This window comes from Homo sapiens, chromosome 20 (genome assembly GCF_000001405.40).
Source record: "Homo sapiens chromosome 20, GRCh38.p14 Primary Assembly".
NCBI classification, from domain to species: domain Eukaryota; kingdom Metazoa; phylum Chordata; class Mammalia; order Primates; family Hominidae; genus Homo; species Homo sapiens.
The window spans coordinates 20847037-20860617 of NC_000020.11; the positions used below are offsets into that span (position 1 = coordinate 20847037).

General features: G+C 44.6%; 1 pseudogene; it reads right to left on the reverse strand.

Annotated features, from left to right (window-relative positions):
* On the reverse strand, positions 6752 to 7560 carry MRPS11P1 (mitochondrial ribosomal protein S11 pseudogene 1; annotated as a pseudogene).

Below are 13581 nucleotides of genomic sequence, written 5' to 3' on the forward strand. Positions count from 1 at the left end.
ACCTTTGCACCATCAGCGTCAGAAAATAGCTCAGATTTACAGAAATGGATCGGTAAGCCAAACATCTTCTTGTAGAAGCTATTGATAGCTTTGTTTTTTCTATTTTGTACATATATAGTCACCCATTGGTATATGTTGGGGATTGGCCAGGGCACACACATATACCCAAATCTGCACACCTTGAGTCCCACAGTCAGCCCTGCTGTGTTATACGAAAAATCTGTGTTATATGAAAACTTGACCCTCCATATATAAGTGGGTTTCATATCCCTCGAATGCTGTATTTTCAATCCTTGTTTGGTTGAAAAAAAATCTGCATGTAAGTGTAACTGTGTAGTTCAAAGCTGTGTTATTCAAGGGTCAATGGATATATATATACTTTTCTCCTAATTGAAGAAAAGTTTATTTTTAGTGGCTAGTTTCTATTTTGTGATGTGATATCATTTTAGTATTGCTTGCTACTTCTTTGAACATCATTAAATTGATTTAAAATATTTTCTTAATTTGCTTAACTAAGAAGTTGGAATTTAAAAAATTTTATTAGGAGTGCCTCGTGTGCCTTTTGTAACATCTAGTTTGTCATGAAGCCAATTAGCTGTGTTATAGTCGAATGCCAGCAAAAGAATGCCAAGCTGTAAAAGGAGATCAGAAGCACATTTTGTGACCCATTTCTTGGTAGGTGGCATTGCTTGTTTGAAATTATACATCAGTGTTATTACACATAGCCAAGAGGGTTCTTAGAATGGATTATCTTACTGTTTTTTTTTTATCTAAGAATTTTATCTCCTGACACAGATGGATGCAGGGATGGGAGCCGGGGTAGCCTGGGAGATGGAACCTGGCGGTCCAGGTGTTGAAGGGTCGAGATAGACCCAGGATGGCCAATGACAGGAAACCCATCTGGCTGTTTAAATACGGTGCTAGGCAACTAGCAGTCACCCAGGCAACCGATGGGGCTGGGGAAGTCCAGCAAGAGGTGACAGCGGGTCCTGATGACAGGACTGACTTGCCCTCGGAGGCAGGCCATGGAAGCAGGCACTATTCAGAGACGCAGGCAGGTGGCTGGCCTTGGGGACGTCTGTCAGCTGCAGGGATGGGACGCCAGGCCTTGGGAAGAGCAAGAGCAAGACAGCATTCCAGGACCAGGGCAACTGGAGCCCGTGGATGTTGTCAAGAAGGAGGTGGGCACTGGGGAAAGAGATGCAGGAGCGAGTAGGTGGTCCAGGATGCCAGGTCCGGCAGGATTCCAAGAGCAAGCAGACCCCGGGGCAGCTGAAGGGTCAAGAACTGTGGTGCTGTGAAGTGGTTCTCAGGACTTCTTAGGTTTCTCTCTCAGGAAGGCCTACCAAAGGGTCCTAGGTGTGAAAACAGCGGACCATGGAAGTGGGAACAGGACGGGATATTTTCAAGTTGGGAGTCCCTGGTTAGAAGTTATTGGATTGGAAACTATGGAGGGTTTTTCTTGGAAGGGATTGTTATTCCACAGTCTGTGTGTGTGCCCGGGGTGTGTGTGCAAGTGAGAGTGTGTGTACAGGCATGTGAGTATACACAGGCCAATGTGCAGGGTTGTGAGTGTGTAGAGTTGTAAGTGTGTCCATATGTGAGTGTGTACGGAGTTGTGAGCATGTGCTGGTGTGTGAGTGTGTGCAGGTATGTGATTGTACATATACATGTGAAATACTGGCTGGGAAGTCCCTCTTAAGTGGCCAGAAGATGGAATGCTGCTACCCTAGCAATAACCTTGTGTGCGAGGTCTAAGCGTGGGCTGTGTTTATAAGGCAGGGATTGGAGTACCACTTTCATTTTCTCAGAAGGTGCCCGCCTATGTTTAATTTCCACCTATCAGATGGGCAGACTGATAAGTGAGCTTTGACACAATAACTCCCCTCGCCCTGAACAGAGAGCGCCAGAAAAGGAAGCCAGAAGAGGCTTCAGGTTGCTTTTACCCTGCTGGGGCCTCTGCCTGGGCTTCTGTAACACTAGGAGAGTGAGGGTCTCCATTCTTCAGAAAATGTGGCCTGGACTGGGGAGAGAAATAGGGTCATGACCGTCGGAGAGACAGGGCTGAAGCAAAGTCAGAACTTTGAGTGACCTCAGACTCAAGATTGTCCCTTCTGTGGCCTTGCAAGCAGTGAAGGCCGCAGAGAAGACCACAGCCACTCACTCTCCTTCTGTTCGGATTTCTCCTGCTGGGGCCCATGCAGCAGGGGGGCAACAGCCTTCAACAGTCCGGGTGACTTTGGAACAAACAGCTGGGCCGAACGTGGAAGTCAGCGGGTCTTTCCCAATGAATGGAGCCCTCAGTGTCTCTGTTGCAGAACTGTTCTCCTTTTGTCTCTCGCTCTTTGGCTCTCTGTTATATAAACATCTGGAGGGCTGAGTATCATTTTAGCCATAGTAAATAGCTTAAAGGAAGAATGCATCTTATATTCCCCCACAAAGAGGCAAAATGGTGTGTGGGCCGCACTAACATAGGAACTGGAAAAATATCTGTGTGGAGTGGATCTGAAGAAGAGTCGCTCTTGGTCTATGAATCGCTTTTCTCTTCCTCTTCCAAACATCTGTGAAGCAATGAAATAATATGTGTGAAGTCTGAAGATTCCCTTCCGGATCAATCTGAGAGTCTTTTTTTTACATCAGTGGCCATAAAGAAACAGGTTAAAGCATCAAATGGGAATGAAATTGCTTCCATATAATATTTCAGACCCTGTTTTTTTCCCAATGCATTAAGCAGCCTGCCAACTAACAAGCGACTCATTTCCATATTTGGAATATTTTCTGTGGTGGTTATATGTTTGTGTACTTGTGGGGGTTAGGGTATCTAGGAAAAAGATAAAAAGAAAAACAAAAGAACAACCAACACTTTTAGCTGATCAGCATTCTGTCCTTAAGGCAAAATAAGGGTTGCAATTCTTTTGAACACCTTTGTCTATCTACAGCCTCACAACTCAAAATGTGGTGCAAGGACTGGTGTCACCCACACCGCATCGCCCATGACCTTATTAGAAAGGCAGAGACTGGAGCACTCCCCCTCCACCCCCGAATCTGAACCTCATTTTAACAAGACCCCCCCAAAGGATTCCTGCACATTGAAGTTTGGGAAGCCGTAGTCTAAAGGCCCTGTCTGGATGGGTGGGCTCATTGTCACCGACTGACTTTGCTTAACACTCACAGGCTGGCTTGAGTCTTTACAGCTTGACATTCCTCCTATGGGAAGAATATTCTGGACCATCTCTTTACTTATAACCATTTAGTATTTAATTCAATCATTTTGCACAGTTCCTTGTGTGAAAGTATCAGGAAAAATGGATGTTTTGTCAACATATCCTCACTTTGACTGCTATCAATCCACAAGTATTTACTTATTCATTGAGACAGGGTCTTGCTCTGCTTCCCAAGCTGGGGTGCAGTGGCAACATCATAGCTCACTGCGTCCTTGAACTTCTGGGCTCAAGTGATCCTCCTGCTTCAGCCTCCTGAGTGGCTGGGACCACAGGTGCATGCCACCATGCTAGATAATTTTTTTTATTTTTAGTAGATGTAATGATAATTTTAATTATTAAATAATAAAAATAATGTATTTTTTAATTTTTAGGGTCTCACAATGTTGCTGAGGCTGGTCTCAAACTTCTGAGCTCAAGTGATCCTACTGCTTCGGCCTCCTAAAGTGCTAGGGTTACAGGCATGAACCACCATGCCCAGCTCACAAGTTGTTGGGGACAGAGCAATAACCAAGAAAAAGTTCCATTTTCAGGGAATGTAAATGCCAGAAGATGGAGACAGTTGAACACACAAGCAAGCAAGATTTAACAAGGCCTCAGATAATGCCATGAAGAAAACAAAATAAAGCTTTGTGATATCCTTTGGATTCAAGAAATCAGAAACAAGACACACTATATGTGGAAGAGTTGCAGTTGTTGACTACGGAGATTTTTCACAGCTGTCCACTGAGCTACCTGGCAGATGGATTAAGAGCAACCAGGCCCAGAGGCAAGGAATGGACTAAGAGATATCTGAATTTTCATCTAGTCTTAAGAGTTTTTAAATTAATAGAAATCCTAGTTGAGATTTGTATTGCAAGAAGACCCAGGGAGAAAGAGAGAGACAAGGAGGGAATAAAAACTCATTTCTTTGGGTTGGATCTAAATGTCCATCAACCTTCAGATGGATGAGGGATGGGTGGAGAGGGAGGGGAAGCTGAGATGATTTACTCACAAGAATGTTTTCTACATCAGTGCTAGTTCTTCAAAGTGGGTTCTTCACATTCCAGGCCCAGGTGGCTCCTTCCAGAGGTGCATCCAGGTGGCTCCTTCCAGATATGAAATGGTAGAAGAATTGTGGAGAAAGGGTGGCTGTGAAGTCAAGCACCATATTTAAAATACGATTCTATTGAATCCCAGCTAACTGTCCTCCAGTTGGTGCAAGAATTCCTAGAAATCACTGTTCATAGCAGCAGAAGAAGGAGATATTTTTTTTCTGGACCACTTATAAGAAATCAGTGGAAATAATAAACATATGTCCTAACATATTTCCTATGTTAGGAAATAAGATTTTCTGCTCTGGGAACATCTGTTCTGAATGATCATTTCTGGTTCACTTTTTTTAAACCAAAGGCTTGAATGAAAGTGAAACAAAAGCAAGTATTTATTTGAAATAAAAGCAGGAAAATGTCTACAAGAACATTTTGAATAAGAACTTCCTAAAATAAGGACAATAATCCTTACATGAAGGTCATCAATATTCCCTCCCCCAACTCTGAACTTCCTGTTGGCTCTGAGCATGGCCATCTTCAATTCTTCTTCTTTATGAGCTTGGAAAACTACTTGTTCTTACCCTCTGCCTTTGTCACTTAGCTTCTTGGATGGGGAAAAATAAGGAAAACGTGTCTTTTCAACTTCTGAGTAAGATCGTTTTGTTTTATTTATTATTATTATTATTTTATGTATTTATCGTAGAGACAAGGTCTCATTCGGTCACCCAGGCTGGAGTGCAGTGGTGTGATCATGGCTGACTGCAGCCTCAAACTCCTGAGCTCAAGTGATCCCCCTGCCTCAAACTTGAGTCTGGCTAATTTTTAATTTTTTTTTTTTTTTTTTGTAGAGACAGGGTCTTGCTATGTTGCCCAGACTAGTCTTGAACACCTGGTCTCAAGCAATTGTCTTGCCTTGGCCTCTCAAAGTGTTGGGATTACAGGGATGAGCCACGGTGCCTAACCAAGGACCAGGTCATTTTAGTTCAGTGTGGAAGGGCACTGTGTTAGTCCATTCTCACATTGCTATAAAGAACTACCTAAGACTGGGTAACTTATAAAGAAAAGAGGTTTAATTGGCTCATGGTTCTGCAAGCTATACAGGAAGTATGACTGGGGAGGCCCCAGGAAACTTAAAACCATGGCAGAAGGTAAAGAGAAAGGAGGTAAGTCCTACACGACCGGAGAAGGAGGAAGAGTGTGAAGGGAGAGGTGCTACACACTTTTAAACAATCAGATCTTGTGAGAACTCACTCACTATCATAAGAACAGCAAAGGGGAAATCTGCCCCCATGATCCAATCACTACCACTACCTCCTCCAAAATTGGGGACTACAATTTGACATGAGATTTGAGTAGGGACACAAATCCAAACCATATCATTCTGCCCCTGGCTCCTCCCGAATTTCATGTCCTTCTCACACTGCAAACCAATCATGCCTTCCCAACAGTCCCCCAAGTCTTAACTCATTTTAGCATTAACTCCAAAGTCCACAGTCCAAAGTCTCATATGACACAAGGCAATTCTCTTCTGCCTATTAGTCAGTAAAATAAAAAACAAGTTAGTTACTTTCAGGATACAATGAAGATACAGGCATTGGGTAAATACACCCATTCCAAAAGGGAGAAATCAGCCAAAACAAAGGGGCTACAGGACCCATTCAAGTCTGAAACCCATCAGGGCAGTCATTAAATCTTAAAGCTCCAAAATAATCTCCTTTGACTCCATATCTCACATACAGCCCACAATGATGAAAGGGGTGGGCTTCCATGGCCTTGGACATCTCTGCCTCTGTGGCTCTGCAGGGTATACTGCCTCGGATGGTTTCTCAGGCTGGCACTGAGGGTCTGCAGCTTTCCCAGGCACATGGTGCAAGCTGTCAATAGACCTACCATTCTGGAGTCTGGAGGACGATGAACCTGTTTTCACAGCTCCACTAGGCAGTGCCCCAGAGGGAACTCTGTGTGGGAGCTCCAACCCCATATTTATCCTCTGCACTGCCCTAGTAGACTCCATGAGGGCTCTGCCCCTACAGCAGAATTCTGCCTGGACATCAGGCATTTTCATACAACCTCTGAAATCTAGGTGGAGGCTCCCAAACCTCAACTCTTGCTCTCTGCATACCCACAGGCTTAACATCAGATGAAAGCCACACAGGCTTATGGCTTGCACCCTCTGAAGCAGTGGCCTGAGGCATATCTGGGGCACTTTTAGCCACAGCTGGAAATGGAGCAGCTGCAATGCAGGGAGCAGTGTCCTGAGGTTGCACAGGACAGCAGGGCCCTGGGCCCTGCCCACAAAACTATTCTTCCCTCCTAGGTTTCTGGACCTGTGATGGAAGGGGCTGCCACGAAGGTGTCTGAAACACCTTCAAGGCATTTTCTCCATTGTCTTGGCTATTAACTTTTGGCTCCTCTTTACTTATGTAAATTTCTGCATCCAGTTTGAATTCCTTCCCAGAAAATGGGTTTTTCTTTTCTATCACACGGCCAGCCTACAAATTTTTCAAACTTTTACACTCTGCTTTCTATTTATTTATTTACAACAGATGGTACAGACATTATTTTATTTTCTCAGAGCAGAGGTTAGGCCTAGGCCACAGCTGCCCCCATAGCTCCCCTCTTGTCTAAGGATGCAAAGTTCATTGCTGGGGCACATCCACCCCCAGCTGGAGGTGCAAGCAAAGGACACTATATAAGGAGGCAAAACTCTCCCATACTGTCTGAAGGATCTCCAACAAGCCATATTCTGGAAAGAGCTCTGACAGGGAACTTTCCGCAAGGTCCAACTGGAGCTGAGACTTGAGGTTAGGTTCAAGTGTAAGCTTCCTTTCCCTCACAGCCTCGGAGCCTTCTTGGGGCAGGAGCCATTGTGTGGGATGGGGGTGTTGCTGTGATTGAGATCACTTCCAGGCCCCCCATGGTCAGTCCCTGGATGGCAGACAGGTGTCCTGGCCCCTGGCCTTTCACCACAACTCAGATGTGGGTAACACCCTTTCCTGCAGCTTTTGTCACGGCTGCTATGCCTGTTGTCTGTGCATTAATGCCTGTGCCCTTCTTGGCATTCAGAAATTCCTCTGTGCCACAGGAAGTATGGGCAAGGGGCTGATTAGTGGCAGAGATTACCTGGATCTGTGTGTTGTTGTAGGATGCTCTAATGTGTGCAGTTGGGATCTCCTCAAATTTCTTTCCTGCCCACCTCAGAGAGCTTTTTTCTTTTGTAATGGGACGGTAAATGCTAAAGCTGGTGTAGCTGGGAGCTACCATCTTCTCTTCAATGTTCTGCTTGGCCTCAATGTCTTGGATCTTCTGGGTGCCTGTGTGGATGGTCTGCACCAGCATCCTGGCCATGACCCTGTCAGGAGGAAAAGATTAAGGAGGGCCACAGCCTAACAGTCCTTGGGGTCTGGGTGGCTCATGTGACACAGGCAGTCCTGGAGGTGGTGGTGAGCTCAAGGGGACAATCATTGTTACCTGGTGGTCAAGGATAAAGTCCAGGACCACAGAAGTGAAAACTCACATTTCTTACAACCTGCATGACTCAAATTGACCCCCATCTGCTTTCCTTTTAAATATAAGTTCCAGTTTTGAATCATTTATTTGCTCACACATATAAGCATATGTTGTTAGAAGCAGTTAGGTCACATCTTGAATGCTTTGCTGCTTAGAAATTTCTTCTATCAGATATCCTAAATCATCCCTTTTTTATTTATTTATTTTTATTCTTTTTAAAAAAAATTAATAGAGATGGCTGGTCTCGAACTCCTGGACTCAAGTGATCCTCCCACCTCAGCTTCCCAAAGTGCTGGGATTACAGATATAAGCCACCATGCCCAGCCCTAATTCATCTCTCTCACGTTCAAAGTTCCACAGATCTCTAGGGCAGGGGCACAATGCCTCCAACCTCTTTGCTAAAGCATAGCAAAAGTGACCTTTACTCCAGTTCCCAATAAATTCCTCATCTCCATCTGAGACCACCTCAGCCTGGATTTCATTGTCCATATCACTGTCAGCATTTTGATCACAATAATTTAACAAGTCTCTAGGAAGTTCTAAACTTTCCCTTATCTTCCTGTCTTCTTCTGAGCCCTCTAAACAGTTACAGCCTCTGCCCATTACCCAGTTCCAAAGTCACTTCCACGTTTTAGGTATCTTTATAGCAATGCCCCACTTCTCAATACCAGTTTTCTGTATTAGTCCATTCTCACATTGCTGTGAAGAACTACCTTAGACTAGGTAATTTATAAAGAAAAGAGGTTTAATTGGCTCATGGTTCTGCAGGCTGTACAGGATGCATGGCTGTGGAGGCCTCGGGAAACTTACAATCATGGCAGAAGGTGAAGAGGAAGGAGGAACATCATACATGGCTGGAGCAGGAGGAAGAAGGTGAGAGGGGGAGGTGCTACACGCCTTTAAACAACCAGGTCTCATGAAAACTCACTATCACAAGAACAGCAAGGGGGAAATCCGCCCCCATGATCTAATCACCTCCCAGCAGGCCCCTCCTCCAACGCTGGGGATTACAGTTCGACATGAAGTTTGTGCGGGGACACAAATCCAAACCATATCAGGCACTCTTGGCTTTGAATATTGACCTGCCTTTATATGGATGGCGTTATGACCTACAGGTATGTCCTTTTGTTTTCTCTTGGGATGAAAGGAAGATGCTCAAATCAGAAAGTCATCTATAGTCTATTATTCCTCTTAGCAAACAATTATGAAGACAGTAAGTGCCTCCTAAGATGGTACAGAAAGAGCACAAGGGGTAAAATGTGACTCTTTAGATTGGAGTCACCTGACCTTGAAAGTGACTCCCCTCTAAGAAGAGAAGCTAGTGCACAGAGCATCACAGGGCAATTGAGGAGTCCAGGAGAAGTCAAGGAAAGCATTCTGCGCTGGACATCAGGAAGTTGCATGGAGCAATGGGCACTTTGGCCAGAACTTAAAGAACCTTCTGGCCATGAGGCATCTAGAAATGTTCAACCATAAGTGCTTGCAGTGACAGCATGGCATTGACCCTCTTGGAGGAGGGACGACTGGCAGAGGGAAGGGCTTGGCAATGGGAAGTAATGGGATTAGTGTGGAGTACAGGGATAAGAAAGATAGGTGTGGCCGGAATGCTGTGGGTCTTGAGTGACTGTGAAGAGATTGAGTCGACAATGAGGAGCTGTTGAAAGTTTTGACTGGGGGCCTGACTGAATCATAGAGGAATTGTGCTAAGTTAATCTGGTGGTTTTGTGCAGATAGGTTGCGAGGAGGAAGGACTGAATTTAGAAAGAGGAAGTGGATGTGAGTGAGATCTGGAGGAATTTTCCACAGGACCGACGAATGAAGGAGGCAAGAGACAAGTCAAATGTAATTTCCAGCCTTCTTACCGGGAGATGGTCATGTCACTTACTGAAATCAGACAGTTAGGGTGGCACGTGTGTTTGGAAGGTGAAGGTAGTGAGAGTGTTTTGACATGTTGAGCTTGATGTTCTAAAAGAATATTTTCAACGTTATAAACCATTTAATGTATGTATAAATATAAATATTTATATGAAAATGTATACATACATATATTTACACATATAAAACAGTTATGTTTAGAAATTATTGCTGTTATTTTACAGGAGTACTTAGTAGAAAGAATAGCAATATGCCACTTAAGAGTATGAAAACTCTCCTTCAAATTGTTCATTTTTTGTCTCTCTTTCTGTTTTTCTCGTAATTAATGTGGTTAAATTGATGCAAGAGATTAGAGCCTCGTGGTCATCTGAAGTTTTCTCTTGGTGCAGTTAGAGCTTTCTTTGGTGCCCAACCACACTCAATGATTCATGTTTGTTTGGAATATTATTGAAGTTGGAAGCAAGGGGTGGTGCCTCTGGGCCATGCAGGAGGTGCCACTGAGGCTGTCATTTTTGCCAAAGAAAAGAAGGCAAAGCTCCAGCAGGCCCTAGTCCCAGTGATTCACTTAGAGAAGCTCTAGGAGGAGCAAGATGGTATTTTCTAGTCTCTGCACTGGTGACATTTGGAGCAAGTCAGTTGGAGAAAACCAGGTACCCTTCTTTCTACTGTCTCTGATTATGTCACAGGGAAATCTTGTAGGGATCCATTTGAATGTGCTTTTAATGGATTGGGTTTGAAACCCATTCCTCCTTTTGCACTCCTTCGCACATGCGGTGAGAATGGAAAACTCTCTTGGGAATCGGAACACGTTTAAGGTGAAGTAATGACGTACACTTGACTCTTGCAAAGTGACTAATGCCTTAAATGACTTACTGCTGCCATAATATATATGACATGAACCCAAAGGTCCCATCAAAGTTGATGTGACCTTTAAATAACAAAGGATCTCTTAGAAAATACATTTAAGAGGCCCTGTCATCTCTCAAAAACATAGGATCTATAAAGAGGGTCAGATACATTTAAACCATGTTTTGAAGTTGTAAGCATTTTTTATGTTCTTAGCATTGGATTAAAGAATACAATCAGGCTGGGCGCGGTGGCTCATGCCTGTAATCCCAGCACTTTGGGAGGCCGAGACGGGCGGATCATGAGGTCAAGAGATCGAGACCATCCTGGGTAACACGGTGAAACCCTGTCTCTACTAAAAATACAAAAAATTAGCCGGGCGTGTTGGCGGGCACCTGTAGTCCCTGCTACTTGGGAGGCTGAGGCAGGAGAATGGTGTGAACCTGGGAGGCGGAGCTTGCAGTGAGCCGAGATCTCACCACTGCACTCCAGCCTGGGGGACAGAGAGAGACTCCGTCTCAAAAAAAAAAAAAAAATACAATCAGATGAGACAGTATCTCAATGACTCAAAGTAGGCCTTCGTGGTAAGAGCCTATGGTTCTTGGTTAAAACCCTTAAAACTTGGTTAAAACCCTTAAAACTCATTGAATCTTTTTTGTTCATTCTTTGAACTTCCCTTCTATGTTCTTCTATTCTCTCCTATGTTCTACTTCTCTTTCTGTGTTCTATTACCAGAAATATACCTGTTGCTTGCTAATTTTATATGCCTACTCCTAAAACCTTAACAAGTGATAATGAGAAAAGAAAACATATTTCTTTGAGCTCTATCCCTGGGCAGGGAACTTTCTGGAACTCTGGTCCTCCCAACATTTCTCAGCACCTGAGCGGGAGGCATCTCAGCTCTGCTCACCAACGAGATCTCCCAGTTAAAGCATGGTGCCTGTCATCTTCTGGCTCCACTTGGAGATGTCTGTGGTTGATTATTTTGCTGCTGATGCAGCAGTGTGAGTAGGGAGGCAAGCTACTGTCACCAAGGAGCTCTTTCCTGTTAGCCCTAAAGGGACTAGTATTCCTCTTTATTGGCACTGCCTCTCACTGCTGCTGAAACTCTCCATGCTGCCACCCAAGTTATTCACATATTGATTCAGCAAATAGTCAGAACCATGGATAACCCACTGTATACCAGGCTCTGCACTAGGCACCATGGATACAATGACTGGCTCCTGCTCTGTCCTTATAGAGCTTAAAGTTCAATGTTGGATGCACACACAAAATTCACAATGCAAACAGAGGAGGCTCTTCAGACCTAAGGTTGATTGGAAGGATAGATGAGAGGTCCCACTGGCCTGGTAAGCTAAGCTGAGGATTTTAGTTGTTTTTCAACAAGCAACAGAAAATCTTTGAAAAGTTTTGTTGTTGTTGTTTGTTTTTTTTTGAGATGAAGTCTTGCTCTGTTGCCCAGGCTGGAGTGCAGTGGCACAATCTCAGCTCACTGCAACCTCCACCTCCCAGATTCAAGCAATTCTCCTGCCTCAGCCTCCTGAGTAGCTGGGATTATAGGCACACGCCACCATGCCCAGCTAATTTTTGTATTTTTAGTAGAGATTGGGTTTCACCATGTTGGCCAGGCTAGTCTCAAACTCCTGACCTCAAGTGATTCTCCCACCTTGGCCTCCCAAAATGCTGGGATTACAGGCGTGAGCCACTGTGTCCATCCCTGAAAAGTTTTAATCCAAAGGGCAAGCTGGATCAGTTTGGGATTTGGGAGAATACTCTGACTCAGGGTGGAAGAGCGGATTGTAAGAAGGACAAATGGAAATGGGAAGAAGTGCTGGGAGGCTGCTGTGAGGGCACAGGAGAGACAGTGTAGCATGGACTGGGTCTGGCTGTGGCAGAGATGGGGAAGAGCACCACATCCCGCCAGTGTACAGGGCACTACTGCTTCAGGGCAGCCTGCGCTGGCCAAGAACCACAGCCATGTTTGCTCTGCACCAATCCAAGGAGATTCTCTCTGTTTTCCTATTGTGACAGTCTGAGATCTTGGTCCCAAAGAAGCGTTGATTTACACTATCCATTCTAACATGTGCCTGGGAGGTCAGCCCCATCACTCGTCAGTCGTGTTCAGGGATGTTGCAATCCAGAGATGAACACAGCTTGGGCTTCAGCTGGCTACCTACAGGGGGATGGTAATGCCTAGGGGATTGGCTGGTTGTCAGAGAATGGAAAATAAGCTATGTTTTGGAGGCACAGGAAAATTTCAGAATCACCATTTGGTAACATTTCCATTATGTAACAGTGGACAGTTAAACAGATACGTTTCAGCACACTGTAAGCCGGGTGGGTGGCCCAGAGTTTCTATGTAGAAACCGTTGTTGGGTTGGAAGCGGCTGGTAGTGAGGTGGGGACCTTGAAGCCACATGTCTATTTCACCTCTTAGAAGGCTGAGAAAATGTCAGTTGCTTATATTTTTAAAAATGGAGGACTTGATGGAAATGGGACAACGGGACAAAATCGCACACACACACACACACACACAAACACACACACACACACCCCTTCCTCATGCCCAAGGGTCCTGCCTGGAGCATCCGTTTTCTACGATAAAGGTTAAGACAGTGCTGTTGACAGGTGCTTTAAAAGCATAAGGAACTAACTTCCTGGGACAGTCATGAGAAAAGCAAGACATTGCTAAAAATATGCACTCTTGCCCATTTGGGCGACGGTCTAAGCTCCTGAAAGCTTAGACAGTAGAAGACAAGTTAGTCATCGTCATTCTTTTCTGCTGATTTCAACCAAAGTAAGTACCCGTTTCCTCTGGGATCTAGCCCCTCAACAGCTGTTAGCAAAAACTAAGCCAGCAGGGGGCGCACAAGCACAGCAATGCTTGCAATACTGCCATTGGCCATGATTCTCTCCTGCCTCTGCAAGATAGAAATTAGGAAGGGAATGACTGTGGCGTTAGGCTGTACATGGACTTAAAGAGGCATGTAGAATCCTAAAAAGCAACATGAATTCTTTTCACTGTTGGAATGGAAGGCAATTTATACAGCATTTCTTAATTGCATTACATAGCATCTCTTAATTGAAATCAACTAAAG